This window comes from Homo sapiens, chromosome 17, assembly GCF_000001405.40.
Source record: "Homo sapiens chromosome 17, GRCh38.p14 Primary Assembly".
In the NCBI taxonomy this organism is placed as follows: domain Eukaryota; kingdom Metazoa; phylum Chordata; class Mammalia; order Primates; family Hominidae; genus Homo; species Homo sapiens.
The window spans coordinates 59643794-59662237 of record NC_000017.11 but is presented as its reverse complement, the minus strand read 5'-3'; the positions used below and the strand labels follow the sequence as shown (position 1 = coordinate 59662237).

The following is an 18444-nucleotide window of genomic DNA, read 5'->3' as shown; positions in this document are numbered from 1 at the left end:
AATTTCAAGAAACCAAGTTAAATATTTTTCCATGTAACACCAACTAACATTCTGTGAAATCTCTGGGAAACAGTATCTCATTGCTAATTAGATAGCCATCCTGTCTTACTAAGATCCAACTTTTTTTTTTTTTTTAAGACCGAGTCTCGTTCTATCACCCAGGCTGGAGTGCAGTGATGCAATCTCAACTCACTGCAACCTCTACCTCCCGGGTTCAAGTGATTCTCCTGCCTCAGCCTCCCAAGTAGCTGGGATTACAGGCACCTGCCACCACGCCCAGCTGATTTTTGTATTTTTAGTAGAGACGGGGTTTCTCCATGTTGGTCAGGCTGGTCTCAAACTCCTGACCTCAGGTGATCCACCCACCATGGCCTCCCAAAGTGCTGGGATTACAGGCCTGAGCCACCATGCCCGGCGAAAAAATATATATTTTTTCAAAAGGAAATAAGTGAATCCATCTTATGCAATGTGTGTTTTTGTTCTGTTTCTACCAGCAGTAATGGAGACATTGTGGTGCAGCCTAAATGATTTTAACTTGCCAATATCATATTTAATGCAACCAAAGCAAGATTATGTCAACATAATTTAACGTACCTTATCTTCTTTTAACCATTTCTCCAAAAGCTGTTTTCGCCCTTGCTGAAGTACAGGCCTACAAAGCTCTAAGGATTCGTATTTGTTGAGCTGTCCCTGGTCCAAAAGGATACCAAAGTACTGAAGTAGAGGAGAAGTTTGACCTGGCTGGGCTGGGACACTCTGGAACCGACGGATAGTGTCTGGAGTACGAAGAATTCCCTTTAAGAAGGAGAAATGTTAAACGCTCTTCGAAAGTGTAAGAAGGAGAAATGTTAAACGCTCTTCGAAAGTGATCCAAACATCACACTAAACACCCTGTAGAGATCAATCTCTTAGGTCAATCTTAAAGGAATGAATCCATCTATTAACATCAAGTTAGGAAGTTTCAAATCTTTACCATCTGGAGTAAATATTTAGTCACTGTCTTTCATACCCCTGGTTCAATGTTATAAGATTATCCAGAATTTGGAAAAAAAAAAAAATTATCCAGAATCAAAAATACATCAACTTAAATTACAATGTCAGTGTGTAAGAGAATAGTTATAATCATAAAACAGTTATAGCTAAGTATTATCCCAAGTTCATATTAAATTAAGTACAAATTTCATAATGAATATTGGTCAGGAATGTAAGGTGTTAATTCAGTCCACCATAAACTAACATCAAAAGTGATAAGAATAAATTCAGCCTAATTTTGACAGCTCTACCCACTATAAAATTGGACAGTATGTATTTCATGTCCAAGTTATGGAAATAAAATCAGTAACTATCATTTATGAGGTCAAACAGTATAACACCTAAATGACTAAACATTACTACATCTATGTAAATCAAAAGCTTGCTAGACCCACATATCCTTCTAACAATCTGGGTTTTAAAAAACTAATCAAATCCAGAGAAAATTAACCAAATCTAGAGGCATTGACAAGGAATTCTACTAAAGGAAAATGTAACCCAAATGTAATCTAAAAACAGTTTATCTGTAGGAAGCTGGTTCCTTTTCTAGTAATATAAGAAACAGAATATTAACAATGGATTAATGTCATGACAACTTCATTTTCATAACTCTTTACCTTTGGTGCATTAGCAGCCACCTTTGCTGCCTCCGAGTAATTTCCCTGGGCAAAAAGAGCATTAAATTTCCGGGCAAAGAGTTCTTCAGCACCGGCTAAGTTATTACGTACAGCCATTCTCAGAGCCAAATCAGGATTTTGTAGAACATTGGTGATGTAAGGAATTATGTTTTCTTCTTCCACACACACTGACAGAACCTGCAATTTAAAGAATAAAATGTAGCTGCAATGTGTTCATTTGGATACAAATGATACCAAATCTGTTTAGAACAGGTTAATACTGAGTCACAAAGGTAATGAAATTGTGACAGCTGTTTTCTTGCTGCCATTAAAAAATAATGAAAGGAAGGAAGACAAGGAGAAAAAAAATTAAGGAGATTTGAAAACAAATGTCATAGGGTGTTAGGCCATTATGTGGTTCCTAAAATATGGCTATTCTATAATCTAAATAACTTACTTCATTGTCCAAACTAACTGCTTTGATACCATCTATTCATTCTTAACACAGTCAGTATCAAAAATTAACATTCCCACTTAATTGAGCTCTGAAAGACAACTCCACATAATTTAAAACTTCTTGAGGACTTCAATCTTGATAACCTACAGAAAATGACACTGAAGAAGCTATGATATCTAAATGACATTTAGGGTTCACTTGCAAGTTGTTTAAGGTATACTCCTTTTAATTTTAGGATTTTTCTTTACAAGAATTTTTTGGTAATTTTCGTTAATTACATTTTCATTCCTAGAGAGCAGATTATATACTCAATGAAGGGAGGGACCACTGAATCCTCAAGCAGCTAACATAATACAAGGAACATGGTAGGTGCTTGAAAAAATAGGCCGGGTGCAGTGGCTCACGCCTGTAATCCCAGCACTTTGGGAGGCCAAGGCAGGTGGATCATGAGGTCAGGAGTTCAAGACCAGCCTGACCAACATGGTGAAACCCCACCTCTACTAAAAAAAAAATATAAAAATTAGCCGGGCATGGTGGCACGCGCCTGTAGTCACTAGGGAGGATGAAGCAGGAGAATCGCTTGAACCCAGGAGGCAGAGGTTTCAGTAAGCCAAGATGGCACGACTGCACTCCAGCCTGGGCAACAGAGGGAGACTCTGTCTCAAAAAAAAAAAAAAATTAATTAAAAATAAAAAATAAAAATAAAATAATAATAATATCAGTAAAGGCCAATTTCTAATTGCTTGTTTGGAAAATTACCTACCCTCAAACCTCTCAATGCCACAGAATATTTTCTGGCTTGCCCCAAAAGCTGAACTACTGTCAACTGCCATAGAGAAAGGGAGTCCTTCTCTACCCATCCATCCCATTCCCCAGTGCAGAACTAGTCATATGCCCTAGCTTATAAACTACTCATATTACCCCAACAGCACTTCTCAACCTAATATAATTGTATAATTTTTTCTCAGTTACTGTTCACATGAGGAAAGGGGGTTTGTCTTTGTTTAACTGTATTACTAGCAATATGCAATTAGTATAGCATAAAACGTATTTAATTTGTTGAATAAATGAATATAGGAAATTTCTGTCCCCAAATCAGTAAGAATTGAAAAATACTTGAGAACTCAGTGAACCAAATAGATAGATAGGTAACAGTCTGCCCTGCCAATTCTACTACTCCTTTCAGGGAAAATGAAGAAATTTCAACCTCCAAGATTTTACTTCTATAGGTCCGACCTCCATCCTCAAGGCTTATTTAAAGGAAGTAATAATTACTTTCTTTATAGTTATTTGCATTCCTGAGCCCCAACCTTAACTCAAATCTTACCTTAGGTTTCCCCACATACTGAATCCACAGTTTTATCGTTATCATACTTAAAGACTGTTCTAGCAGATTTCTAGCAACCAGTCCTTAGTAAGATCTGCTACAGGAAACAGAAAAGGCTCCAGTGTCTTCTAAAGTACTCAGTTCTATCAAATTAAGAATTTAAGTCAGATGTTGACTATAATATCACTTTAATTGATTTTGCTTTTTCAACCCATAGAAGCCACTTACTCATTCCTTCAGGGAATATGCCAAGTTGGTAGACTTTAGCAAAGAGTAGAAGAAAGCCCTAAGGTTACTGTAAATACTCATCTCTTTACTCAAAGTAGCTGGCACATAAAATTTGGGAGGAAGGGAAAGTAACAATCAACAAGTTCCCAGAATTAGAGTTATGAACACCAAGAATGTGTCATGAAATTATTTAAGGTTAAGCGCTATCTTAAAACAGCACAACAGCAGAAACAAAAAGTGGCGAGGCGTGGTGGCTCATGCCTGTAATCCTAGCACTTTGGGAGGCCAAGGCAGGAGGATCGCTTGAGCCCAGGAGTTCAAGACCAGCCTAGGCAACATAGCAAGACCCTGGCGCTCTCTCTCTTTTTTTTTTTGAGACGGAGTCTCGCTCTGTTACCCAGGCTGGAGTGCAATGGCACAATATTGGCTCACAGCAACCTCTGCCTCATGGGTTCAAGCAATTCTCCTGTCTCAGCCTCCCAAGTAGCTAGGACGACAGGCACCTGCCACCACACCCAGCTAATTTTTTTTCGTATTTTTAGTAGAGACGAGGTTTCACCATATTGGTCAGGCTGGTCTCAAACTCCTGACCCCAGGTGATCCACCCACCTCAGCCTCTCAAAGTACTGGGATTACAGGCGTGAGACACTGTGCCCAGCCCCTGTCTTTTTTTTTATTTTTTTAATTAATTAAGAGTTTAAAAAAAAAAGCCCCTGGCTTCACAACTTCATGATTATTAAATTATCACTAATCTAGTTCACCAAAAGACCAATATATTCTTGATTTTCCTTCTTTTTTTTTTTTTTTTTGAGACAGAGTCTTGCTCTGTCATCCAGGCTAGAGTACAGTGGCGCGATCTCAGCTCATAGAAACCTCCGCCTCCCAGGTTCAAGTGATTCTTTTGCCTCAGCCTCCCGAGTAGCTAGCATTACAGGCATGCACCACCACAGCCGGCTAACTTTTTGTATTTTTAGTAGAGACAGGGTTTCACCATGTTGGCCAGGCTGGTCTTGAACTCCTGAGCTCAGGCAATCTGCCCGCATCGGCCTCCCAAAGTGCTGGGATTACAGGTATGAGCCACTGAGCCTAGCCTTATTCTTGATTTTTCTAAGCAAGACACTCATAACTGAATATCTGAAAGCTACTGAATTTTTAAAACTGCTTTTGTCCCAGACACTGACTGGTGCTAGAAATATAATTTACTAAAGACAATCCCTTTTTCTAATGATGAATAGTGACTGCAACAGCTTAGCGAGCAATTTTAATAAGTATGGTAAATGTTATGAGGAGAAAGCCCTAAGTTCTAGGAGTACAGAGCAAAAGCACCTAACCAGGTCTGGAGTTAAGGTGGGGCATGGGTAGGTAGGGATGCACTCCCTTTCCCTAGAGGAATTGTCTCTTCATATACATAACATTTTTCAAAAATTAACTGAATGAAGGAGAAACAAAATCTATCTACTTCCTTTGCTTATTATCTGGGAAAAATACTAATTTGGAAGAAAATGAGTAAAAGGCAAGACCAGTAACAGTATTTTTAAAATGTTTAGCCATTTTTCAGAAAATTAACATAGCTCCTGGTAAAATATTCTTATTAATATTAAAATAGGCTGTGCGCCGTGACTCACGCCTGTAATCCCAGCACTTTGGGAGGCTGGGGCGGGTGGATCACAAGGTCAGGAGTTTGAGACCAGCCTGGCCAAAATGGTGAAAGCCCGCCTCTACTAAAAATACAGAAATTAGCCGGGTGCAGTGACTCACATCTGTAATTGCAGCTACTTGGGAGGATGAGGCAAGAGAATTGCTTAAACCCGGGAAGTGGAGGTTGTAGTGAGCTGAGATCATGCCACTGCACTCTAACCTGGGTGACAGAGCAAGACTCCATCTCAAGAAAAAAAAAAAAAAAAAAAAAATTAAAATAATAAGATGACAGATAAAGAATCACTTGCTAGATGGTATGAAGAGGTTTTTCAAAAATGACAAATTTAGAACGGATAATATTTTTCCTACCAAACTGATTAGCTTTCCAGGCATCCCACAAGAGGTACTGAAACATATCACCTTCTAACATGTAATAGTAATGCTTAATTAAGGAGCTAGGAAAAGGGATGTAGGTAGAATTCTTTTCCCTGTAGTTGATAATTGCTCTGCCTTGGAGATAACAGAAAATTCCTTAAAAAAATAGTCTGTCAAATATGACCCTAAATTGTTTCTTTGCATGGGGAATCACTTCTTTTGACAGTAATGCATCTATACAGTCCTAGATGGCTATAAACCAGTTTCTCTGAGACAGGATTAAAGAGAGACTTTGTATTCATACACATCTCTATTTTTAGGTATATATTATTTTCTTTTTTATCAGCTTACATCGTGCTTTGATATATATTATTTTCTAATATCCAAAGTTACTATTTACTTTTTGGAAAAAAACTAACAGTAATATGTTTATTTTCTATTTTTTAATCTTGGGGAGTAATTTCTCAAAAGGACAGGATTGTTCCCAACTCATCAGGTTATCTTATTTTATTGCTTAAGTTTCAAGGTTTCCTTACTTGTCCCTTTCTGTTTACTCCAATTATTCCAGCTGTGGCTTCATGAGGTGCAGTAACAAAAATTGTTTCTCCACTGATTCTATTCATGTAGATGCAGGTACCAGTCTCAAGATCATAGAGGTGGATATAACCATACTTGGTTATCAAGAACACCACATCATGCTTTTCACTGATCTACAGAAAGAAAATCAACACTTTAGTAAAATAATGAATCTACAAACAGAAAATAAAAACATTCAGTCTAATTCCATTTTAGAGATGGTAAAATTCCAGAACAAGAGGGTTATTTGAAAAATTATAAGCTAATATTTAAAGTTTCCTTCATTTCTACAGCACATTTAAATATGGATATCCCAAGCTCTTATATAACATGAAACTGATAAGAGGAAAGACAATTCAAAACTTAGATAGCACAGTTTACGTATTACAGGGATACCTCATTTTACTGCACTTTGCAGTGCAGATGAATCTTTACGAATGGAAGGTTTATGGCAACCCTGCATCGAGCAAGCCTATTGGCACTATTTTCCAACAGCATGTGCTCTCTTCAGTGTCTCTGTGTCACGTTTTCATTAATTCTCACAATATTTCAAACCTTTTCATTATTGTATCTGTCATGTTGATCTGTGGCCAGTCATCTTTGATGTAACTATTATTTTGGGGTGTGATGAATTGCACCCACATAAGACAGCAAACTGAACTGATAAATATTGTGTGTGTTCTGACTGCTCCACCAACCAGCTGTTCTCCCGTTTCTTTCCCTTTCCTCAGGCCTCCCTATTACCTGAGACACAACAATATTAGGCCAATATAATAACTACAATTGCCTCTATGTGTTCTACCTCTCTTTTTAAATCGAAAGCTAGAAGTAATTTTAAGTTTAGTGAAAAAGACATGTCCAAGGCCAAGATAGGCTGAATGGTGGGCCTTTTGACCTAGCCAAGTTGTGAATACAAAGGAAAATTCTTGAAGGAAATTAAAGTGCTACTCCAGTGAACACATGAATGATAAGAAAACCTAACAGCTTTCTTGCTGATATGCAGAAAGTGCACTGGTGCAGTGGCTTACAAATGTAATCCCAGTCTCATTTTCTCACATCTAAGAAACCTACCACAGACAAAGTCAAACTCTAGGTACTTGCCATATTGAGATAATGTTTTGCAGGCCAAAGAGAAATAAAACGATTCTACTTTTGAATTTATGTAACTATCTAAATGAGCAGTTTTTTTCTCTTTTAAAATGTTATAGGCCAAGTGCAGTGGCTAATGCCTGTAATCCTAGCACTTTAGGAGGCCGAGGTGGGTGGATTGCCTGAGCTCAGGAGTTCGAGACCACCCTGGGCAAAACAGTGAAACCCTGTCTCTACTAAATACGGAAGAAATTAGCCAGGCATGGCAGTGTGCACCTGTAGTCCCAGCTACTGGGGAGGCTGAGGCAGGAGAATTGCTTGACCCCGGAGGCGGAGGTTGCAGTGAGCCGAGATGGTGCCACTGCACTCCAGCCTGGGCGACAGAGTGAGATTCCGTCTCTAAAAGAAAAATGTTATACACAGCTGGGTGCAGTGGCTCATGCCTGTAATCTCAGCACTTTGGGAGGCTGAGGCAGGTGGATCACTTGAGGTCAGGAGTTCGAGACCAGCCTGACCAACACGGTGAAGCCCTGTCTCTACTAAAAATACAAAAAAATTACCCAGGTGGGGTGGTGCGCGCCTGTAATCCCAGCTACATGGGAGGCTGAGGCACAATAATCACTTGAACCCGAGACGTGGAGGGTGCAGTGAGCTGAGATTGCGCCACTGCACTCCAGCCTGGGTGACAGAGCGAGACCGTCTCAAATAAAAATACAAATAAAAATGTTATACACTAGCCAGGTGCAGTGGTATGTGTCTGTATCCCAGCCACAGAGGAGGCTGAGGCAGAAGGATCACTTAAGGCCAGGAGTTTAAGACCAGCCTGGGCTGGGCATGGTGGCTCACGCCTGTGATCCCAGCACTTTGGGAGGCCAAGGTGGGCAGATCATTTGAGGTCAGGAGTTCAAGACCAGCCTGACCAACATGGCGAAACCCCAACTCTACTAAAAATACAAAAATTAGCCAGGTGTGGTGGCGGGTGCCTGTAATCCCAGCTACTCGGGAGGCTGAGGCATGAGAATCGCTTGAATCCAGGAGGCAGAGATTGCAGTGAGCTGAGATTGCGCCACTGCACTTCAGTCTGGGCAATAGAGAGACTCAGTGTCAAAAAAAAAAAAAAGACCAGCCAGGGCAACACAGTGAGACATTGTCTCTAAAATATTTTTTAAGTAGCCAGGCGTACTGGCATGTACCTGTAGTCCTACCTACTCTTAGCTACTCTGGAGGCTGAGGCAAGAGGATCAGTTGAGCCCAGGAGTTCCAAGGCTGCAGTGAGCTATGATCACAGCACTGCCTTCCAGCCTGGGCAACAGAGGGAGAACCTATCTCTTTAAAGAGGGAGAGGGAAAGGGAAAGAAAGAGGGGGAGAGAGGAGGAGAGGGAGAGGCAGAAGGAGAGGGAGAGGAGGCCGGGCGTGGTGGCTCATGCCTGTAATCCCACCACTTTGGGAGGCCGAGGTGGGTGGATCACGAGGTCAGGAGATCGAGACCATCCTGGCTAACACCGTGAAACCCCATCTCTACTAAAAATACAAAAAATTAGCCGAGGGTGGTGGTGGGTGCCTGTAGTCCCAGCTACTCGGGAGGCTGAGGCAGGAGAATGGCGTGAACCCAGGAGGCGGAGCTTGCAGTGAGCCGAGATCGCACCACTGCACTCCAGCCTGGGCGACAGAGAGAGACTCTGTCTCAAAAAAAAAAATAAATAAAATAAATAAATAAATAAATAAACAAATAAATAAAATAAAAGATCCAACCAGCTACAACATTCTCTTAAGCCAAAGCCTAATCTAGTTTAAGGCCCTAACTCTCCTCAATTCTGTGAAGGCTCAGAGAGGTGAGAAAGCAACAGAAGAAAAATTTGAAGGTAGCATAAGTTGATTCATGAGGTTTAAGCAAATAAACCATCTCTATAACATAAAAGTGCAAGGTGAAAAACCAAGTACTGATGTAGAAACTGCAGCAAGTTATATGGAAGATCTAGCTAAGATCATTGAAGGTGGCTACACTAAACAACAGATTTTCTCTACAGAGAAGTCAATGCCTGGCTTTAATGGACAGGCTGACTCTCTTATTAGGAACTAATGATGCTGGTGACTTTAAGGTGAAGCCAATGCTCATCTGCTATTCCAAAAATCCTAGGACCTTCAAGAATTATGCTAAATCTACTTTGCCTATGCTATAGAAATGGAACAGCAAAGCCCTGATGACAGCACATCTGTTTACAGCATGGTTTACTAAATCTTTTTATGCCTACTGTTGAGACCTACTGCTCAGAAAAAAAAAGATTCCTTTCAAAATGTTACTGCTCATCGACAATGCACATAGTCACCCAAGAGCTCTAATGGAGATATACAAGGAGATTAATATTGCTTTCATGTCTGCGAAGACAGCATCCACTCTGAAGCCTATGGACCAAAGAAGTAATTTTGACTTACAAGTCTTCTTATTTAAGAAATATTATTTCATAAGACCACAGCTGCCCTGAACAGTGATTCATCTGATGGATCTGGGCAAAGTAAATTTAAGTGAATCTGGAAAGGATTCACCACAGTAAATTTAAGTAACGGTCAATCTGGAAAGGATTCATCATTCTAGATGCCACTAAGAACACTGATGATTCATGGGAGGAAGTCAAAATATCAACATTAAAAGGAGTTTGGAAGAGGCTGATTCCAACCTTCATGGATGACTGAGGAGTTCAAGACTTGAGTGGAGCAAGTAAGTGGAGATGTGGTAGAAATAGCAAGAAAACCAGAATTAGAAATAGAGCCTAAAAATGTGACTGAATTACTGTAATCTCCTAGTAAAGGAGCTGCTTCTTAAGGATGGGCAAAGAAAAGAGGTTTCTTGAGATAAAATCTACTGCTGGTAAAGGTGCTGTGAACATTGCTGAATGACAACAAAGGATTTAGATTATTACAGAAACTTAGCTAATAAAGCAGTGGCAGGGTTTGAAAGAACTGACTCCAATTCTGAAAGATCTACTGTGGGTAAAATGCTATCAAACAGCAATGCACAGAGAAATCTTTTGTGAAAGAGTCAATTGATGCAGCAAACTTCTTTGCTGTCTTATTTTACGAAACTGCCACAGCCACCTCAACCTTCAGCAACCACCACTCTGATTATTCAGCAGCCATCGACATTGAGAAAAGACTTTCCACAAGCAAAAAGATTACAACTCACTAAAGGCTCAAATAATCATTAACATTTTTTAGCAATAAAGTATTTTTAAATTACAGTATGTATACTGTTTTTCTAGACAATGCTATTTCACACTTTACAGTAGACTACAGCATAGTGTTAAGTGTAACTTTGATCTGCACTGGGAAACCAAAGAATTCTTATGACTCACTTTGTTGTGGTATTTACTTTATTGTGGTGGTCTGGAGCCAAACCTCATAATAGGCCTAAGGTAGTCCTGTACATGAAAAGCCAAGGTATTATTTTACAAAGCTTCACTAATAAACTTTAAAAAAGTATTCTTTTAAGCATCACTTAAATTATATCTACCATGAATAGTCTTTGGGTTAATTTCTTTTAAGAGGAGAGATTTTTAAAAAGTCATTTATTTTGCTTAAAATACCTGCATTGCAACAGGAAAATCATTTTGTGCTTCTGGAGGAAAGAAGACATCCACTGCCTTCTTTGGAAAGGGCTGGTTCCCTGTAGGTGGTGTGCCAACTTCAATAATATGTAACTGTTCAAAAGAAAATCAAAATGTATATAAACCTATACATTAGCAGTTGATCACAGCAGCTTTATTTGTAGCCCCCAAATGGAAACAACCAACATGTTCTACAGAAGATCAATGTTAAATGGTTTTGGTTACATCCATACCATGGAATACTTGGTAATAAAAAGGAACAAACTTTCATGAACATTATGGTGAGTGAAAAAAAAGAAGCCAATCTTAAAAGGTCACATACTGTATGATTCCATTTATGTAACATTTCTAAAGTGACAAAATTATAGAGATGGAGAATAAATTAGTGGTTGCCAGGAGCTAGGGATGGTGTGAGAGAGGGGGAGTGGGTGTGACGCTACAGTCATAAGGGAAATCACTGTGGTGATAAAATAGTTATCTACTCATGATAAAATGACACAGAATTATACAATTGTACCAATGTCAATTTCCTGGTTTTTCTACTGTACTACAGCTGTGTAAGATGTAGCCATTGGGAGAAACTGGGTAAAGAACACAGGGGACTGTTCTGTACTGTCTTTACAGCTTCCTATAAATCTGTATTATTTTAAGATAAATGCATTTTTAAAAGTCAGCTGATACTCGGGAGGCTGAGGCAGGAGAATCGCTTGAACCCAGGAGGTGGAGGTTGCAGGGAACCGGGATCGTGCCACTGCATTCCAGCCTGGGCAACAGAGCAAGACTCCATCTCAAAAAAAAAAAAAAAAAAAAAAGTCATCTGAATATCTGAAATAATCATACCTCAAATAATCTACCTGAAATAAATGGTATAGAAGGGTAATACATTACCTACAATGGTACTTTTCTCCTAGCTTTAAATTTTAATTTAGTATTTCCAAATAGAAACCTAAGTTGTTAAATTCTTCTCTACCTATACATATACACTAAAACAGAATGAATGTATATACCTAATTTGAGTTGTCTCTCTAATCACAAACATCCCATAAACTAAATGAGAACATTTTGGTTTAAAATATCCAATGCTGCACATAAGCCAGGCAAGAGAAAAGTAAATAATCTCAATGAAAAAGTACTATATATTTTCCTTAGTCATGCCAGAAATGAACTCAGACAAAAAAAAATTCAGTTTCCAAGACACATACCATATGAATGTTATAGGGTCTCATCATCCTTCATTAGGATGACTAGCCATACTGAAAAACTTGGTATCTTCCTTCAAAAGCCATGGCAGACAGGATAGCACCATGTATGAAATAATAGGCTCAATAACCTATAAACAGGTTTCCAGATACTGTTCAAAATGACATTGAAACTTTTTTCTAGTAGAACTTTTCAATAAATGTCCTGCCTTATGTTTTAAGGATAATATCTAATTTCTAAAACTATGTGTTTTTTTCTGTTTAAATTTCATCTATTCAGATCTAAATATCAGTGCTTTCTACCACTGTCACATTGAGGTGTTGGTAGCATTATCCTCAATTCAGGGGCTATCGTGAAATTTTAAGCAGAATTGTATGTCATTACTTACTGTTTCCTCTCTCCTGACAGGCTACAGATGATATCTTAAGCAATCTCTATCTCAATTTTTAAAAACTGCTTACTTACAAAGAGAGAGACACATGTCCTAACAAAAGTGAAGTTCAAATTTTTTGGTCTGCCTAGAATCTAAACCCTCTTCCTGATGGGACAACAAGAGGGAAGATACTCTTTACAAGTTTTGTTGGTGGTAGAACCAGCCTTCTGTTTTAGGAGCACCAAACACCAAATAATTATTTCCAAACCTCTCAGACATAAGATGTGGGCATCTGATCTTGCCTAAAACTAGACTTTGAACAGGGAGCTAGGAACACAAAAGTATTAGGATTTCAGAGATGCTACTCTGGTAGTGGAAATAGTAGTCAAATCGAATTTCCAAGCATCCAGAAATGCAATCATGGATCCAGAAGTGTCCTCAGAGTTCTGTGGAATAGTTGTTGGCTGGGACCCTGACCACTGCTCATTTTCCATTATTTCTCCTCATTTCCCAGTCTTGGTTTTACAGCCTCCCCAGCTGTTGTAAACTATCCAATATCCTTCACTAAACAGACCATTGCTCTAATCAACCAGACCTTGTTTCTATTACCTGCAACTAAGTCTAATATACAAAGTACTACAATCTGTCCAGGCGATTCCAATGTGTAGTCATGGTTGAAAACCTCTAACTTAAGTCAGTGTTATTCACCTGTAGTCTACATTGCCTCTATATCAAGCCATATAAGGTATTTAAAATGCAGATTATATTGGGAGACCAAGGCGGGAGGATCACTTGGACCCAGAGGTTTGAGACCAGCCTGGGCAGTATAGTGAGACCCTGTCTCTACAAAAATACAAAATTTAGCCAGGCATGGTGGCACATGCCTGTAGTCCCAGCTACTCGGGAGGCTGAGACAGAGGGATCACTTGAGCCCAGAAGGTCGAGGCTGCAGTGAGCCCATGACTGCGCCACTGCACTCCAGCCTGGGCAACAGAGTGACACCCTGTCTCAAAAAGCAACAAATAAACAAAAAAAATTATAGGCAACACCTACTAAATCAAACTCTCTAGATGTACAGCATATAAATGTGCACTTTAGCAATCAAAGAATATAAACAGCCAACAGAACGAGTTGTGAAAGAACATTATTCATTTTAGACAAGTATCACTAGATGCAAAATTTGAACAAATTAAGTCACCACAAATGTGAATACTAAAATTACTTAGGAAGGGAGAAGGCTATTTTGAAATTAGATGACTAATTCATAGCAGAAAGCCAAATACAAGTTCTCATTAAAATAATTACCAAAGCCAAAACTTACCTTCCCTCCAGCTTGGCCCCGAACTGCAAAACAAAATAACGTTGATTCTTCTGCATTTCCTTCCATCTTAAACTGTGCAAAGCTAGCTGCATGTCCTTCAATGGGCTGAGACACTTTCCTATCTACAGAATATAGCTGCATAGCTCCCACCACACGATTTTGCTATAAAGGATCAAAGAGAATAACGTTTGAAGACCCATAAATCAAAAACTCTCAGATTCATCAAGTAATGAAATAATTAGAATGCTTTGTCATCTTTAGCAGGATTTATAATTATTTGTCACTTCATCTCTCACTGTAGATTTGATACTTCTTAACTTAAAATCAGCCCCAAACATTATCTTGTTAAAGCCTAACATAAATGTTTAAAATATGCCTCATATACGTCTTAAACAAAAAGGTATAGAAGCATTCATTCTGCAGTAAATACTCCATAATAAATCCCAAATCATTCTTACAGAAACTCAATTTCTACTCAATCTCCACAGAAGAGCTAAAAACGCTTGGTAAGAGCATTCTGAAATTATATGTCAGTATAGCAAGGGAGCGAGGAAGAAGAGAAGGGAGGGAGGAAGGAGAAGAGAAGGGATGGGAGGAAGGAAAAAAAAAGTCTTCCAAAATAAGTGAAATTCAACAGGATTGAGTATAGAAAGACCTAATTTCAAAATCAAACTGCATTCTGGGCACAACCGTGTTCTAAACCTCTTCTTCATAAAAAAATAGTTAAAATGTTACCTGTGCAGATATACCAGTCAGAAGTAACCACTTTTGTTTTGCATCTGTACGGTAATTGATAATCTGGCACCCTGCAAGGCTAGAATGGCGATCAAACATTTTCACTGGCTGAGACTCTCCTTCCATACTCCAGTGATAAACTGCATTATCCGTAACAAGAGCAACCGTATTCAAAGAGATCCATTTCCAAAAGGTGACATCATCAGTCATGGTATGAGCCTTCATTTTACTTTTCATTTCAATGTTAAAAATCTGAAGAGTTTTCCCAGCTAAAAACAAAATCAAGAATTATAAATCATTAAAAGAGTAAAGTTTAGAATGAATACCTACCTAGACTAGCTCTGTCACTTCCAAACAAAAATAGTTCTATTACGAGACGAGTTGCATCGATACAGCAGCAACCATTAAAGAGGTAACAGCTAAGACTAAGCAAACAATCTACATCTACGTTTTAAGCAAAAACTACATTACCTCTAATAAACACACTTTAAACAGATAGTATGACTTCCATGGAATTCTAAATCCCAACTGAAAATAAGCCTAATGAATAGTTTTCTTAACAATAATTGAAAACAAAGCTGTCACCTTCATACTTGTAATTAAGTATGTTTACTTTACACATAAACTTAGTTGCATGTACACAAGACAAAGCAACTCTGATAACAAACACATGGGGGAAAGAAAATGTATTTTTTTAAAGGCAGTCATCTCTCATCTAAATAAATCTTGTGGAAACTGCTTTTTAAAAAGAGGATCTGCTTCAATTCTGTCTTGTTGCCACTAGCACGTAAGAGAAGTGCCTGCTACATTTAACCGGCTTAAGATAACAAAGGGAAGGTAGAGGTGCTGGAGGAAAGGAGAGGGAGACAAAGGAAGAGGATAGTTTCAGATGCTGTTAATATACTGGAGATAAGAACAAAGTGCAAGCTTCATCCAATTAAGAAAGCAAGCATTTAGTTAAAAAAGGATGAAATTTGCCTTGAGTGTTAAGAGTCCACTGAGTCAGATGCAAAGGCTTGTACTTGTAGTTTGAAATCCATCAGTTCAAAATGTGATTTGGTATAAATTAATAGAGGCCAAAGCCTACAACTATCACTAGGCTATCAAGATTAGTCTTTAAAGACTAAGAAAAACACCATTCCTGAGACACAGAGAATCTGGCTCCTGAAGGACCAAAATTTTAAGATTCGGGTGCTGGGGGGACAAAGAAGGGGGGCAAAACATACAGCTTTGTACTACAACCCTCCGTAACACATGTGCAAAAATTTCTTTCATAAAATGAAGAATGTTATTCCCATCCCACACAGTATGTAAACCACAACCAGACTTGAAAAATTGTGAGAGTTACAGTCCTGTTTATAAAAAGAAGCCAAGGGGTTCAAAACTGGCTTCAGAGGGAAGCAGTATTTTGGAATGACTTACTTTCCTTTGCTGCCTTCCTCAACTCCCAGATTATTAGGGGTTGGAATATATACATAAGTGGGGTGGTCTTGGGGAGGGGGACAAGGGATGACAGCTTGACTCCATAGTGCAGACATATAGGGACAAATCTATGATGTTATTGTACAATGCTCCGAAAATCTTTTCAATTTATTCTTTTTATAGAACAGGACAATAACTAATACAATCTAATTTAAGATAACTCACCATCTGCACACATAAGAAAGCATTAAGAAATGTGATAAGATAACAATAACATTAAAAATAGAAAAGAATTTTGGCAAAATTAAAATGATGGCCTTTTAATAGAGAGGCATGGGAATTGCTAAGGACCTGAATTTAAATTCTTTAAAGAGTCTGAAGGAAGCTTAATACCCTAAATAGAAGTAATAGAAGTAAAACACTTACTGTCACAAAACATCTGGTCCTATGTGAAAGCTGGACCATTTTTCCTCGAGATGAGATGAGTTTCTATCTTAGATATGTGATAGTGACTTATTTGTTTGAATATCCTAGTCCTACCCAACCCTATTCACTCTCCAACTAGTATTATTACTATATACAAAGTTTAAATCATGTAAAGAAAAGTCAAAGTTCAGCACCTCTAATAACTTAGTCACAAATTTATCAACAAATTACTGCGAACTTGAACTCTTCTTTCTTCTATCAAAATGAAAAACAAAGCAGGCAATCGAATGCCTTTTTAAGAGTCAGTTTGTCACCGAGCCCTCTTAAAAACATCTGTTTTAAAGGGTCAATTAGTCTCATTCTAAAGTTCAAAGGAATACAGCTTCCGTGACAGTCTAAGAGTCTTTGAACTCTGTTTAGACTTAAGCTGCACAGTTCCCTTGTTGGGACAATTAAAAAGTTAGTCTGAATAAACTCAAATACCCTTCACTCAAGAGCTTTAATATCCACCTAAATACAAACACACTTTAAACAATTACTGTAAATTCAAGCCATTTCTAGAACCCAATAATCTAAGTGAAACACAAGCCCGAAGTATAAAAAAAAAAGCACAGAATCAAAGGCAAGTTTATCATCATAACAAAATTCTGCAATGTTTAGGTGCTAATATTAGTAAAGTATGTTCTATTCCAGAATATGAATCACTAATTTCTTTCCTCTGTAGAGAGATATGTTTAGCACAGTTTTATACCAGATACAAAATTTAAATGCATTTATTCTAAAACTTAAAATTATTCTAAGTAGATATATGTTAAGACATTCCACAGATACATTCCAAGTAAAAGTAATTAAAGTGGTTTAAATCAAGTTCGGTATTAGCAGATCTATTTTCTTTAACCAAACTTAATCAATATACTTAAAAAGGTAAACCCTAGTTATTGTACTTGCATAAATACATAGGAAGAGCTGGCTGGGCGTGGTGGCTCACGCCTGTAATCTCAGCACTCTGGGAGGCCGAGGCAGGCGGATCATGAGGTTAGGAGTTCGAGACCAGCCTGGCCAACATAGTGAAACCCCATCTCTACTAAAAATACAAAAAAACTAGCTGGTTGTGGTGGCAGGCACCTGTAATTCCAGCAACTCGGGAGGCTGAGGCAAGAGAATCGCTTGAACCTGGGGGGTGGAGATTGCAGTGAGCCAAGATCGTGCCATTGCACTCCAGCCTGGGTGACAAGAGTAAAACTCCGTCTCAAAAACAAACAAACAAACAAAAAAAAAACAAAAAAAAACAAAAACATAGGAAGAGTTTTAAGGAAAACCCACATTCTTTTATACCTTTCAGTGCAATTACTTTGCTAGCTGGATTCATGATGGCGCTGTCTGCTGAAATTGGTCTTCGAATTGGATTACTTGGGTCATTCATATCAATGATTACCACCTGGGCCTGCTCTCCTACTTTTTCTCTAATGCAGATGAATTTGTCAGACTCCATAGTCAGGGTACTGAAGCCAATGTTTGCTGGGTTGATACCCAGGTTCTGGAGCTAGAAAAAATAATAAGAAACCATGTTACCAAGTGGATTCCAAAGACTTGACATTCATATATGCTCATCAACACAAATCCTCACTTAACATTAATGCTTCAAGGTCACAATAACATCTACATTATGTTAATTAAAGAGAGACTATTAATAGCCAAGTATTGGACCTTCTCTTCTTCAAACAAACATGCCATTCAACTGTTTCAAATAAGAGGCAGAACAAATACAGATGAAGTTAAAGGAAAGAGCAACATCTGCAAGGTAGCATGCATGGTTCAAGGGATTTGAGGTAATTGAGTTTCTTGATTTATTTTAAGACCTTGGAACTATTGGACCAGTCCTCTCTCACCCCCCTTAACATGTAGCAGTTATTTGTTCACGCTTCAAGAAGCTGAAAAATTAAGTTACAAGCATAAAAAGATCTAAAATGTCACAGAATTCTTGATCTAAATAAAGGAACTTGAATAGCAAGAGCAAACAAGTTC

General features: G+C 38.4%; 1 protein-coding gene across 2 annotated transcripts in view; it reads right to left on the bottom strand.

Annotated features, from left to right (window-relative positions):
• The window catches only part of CLTC (clathrin heavy chain), a 77062-nt gene that overhangs the window by 34719 nt on the left and 23899 nt on the right, over positions 1 to 18444 (bottom strand). The window contains exons 2-8 of one of the 2 annotated variants that reach the window (NM_001288653.2): positions 17743 to 17962; positions 14572 to 14840; positions 13837 to 13998; positions 10922 to 11035; positions 6211 to 6384; positions 1650 to 1847; positions 595 to 795 (exon numbers count right to left, since the gene is read on the bottom strand). In NM_001288653.2, coding sequence (NP_001275582.1) covers positions 595 to 795; positions 1650 to 1847; positions 6211 to 6384; positions 10922 to 11035; positions 13837 to 13998; positions 14572 to 14840; positions 17743 to 17962 — 1338 coding nt within the window. The remainder of the gene's footprint in view (positions 1 to 594; positions 796 to 1649; positions 1848 to 6210; positions 6385 to 10921; positions 11036 to 13836; positions 13999 to 14571; positions 14841 to 17742; positions 17963 to 18444) is intronic. The other variant, NM_004859.4, reaches the window with a different exon arrangement.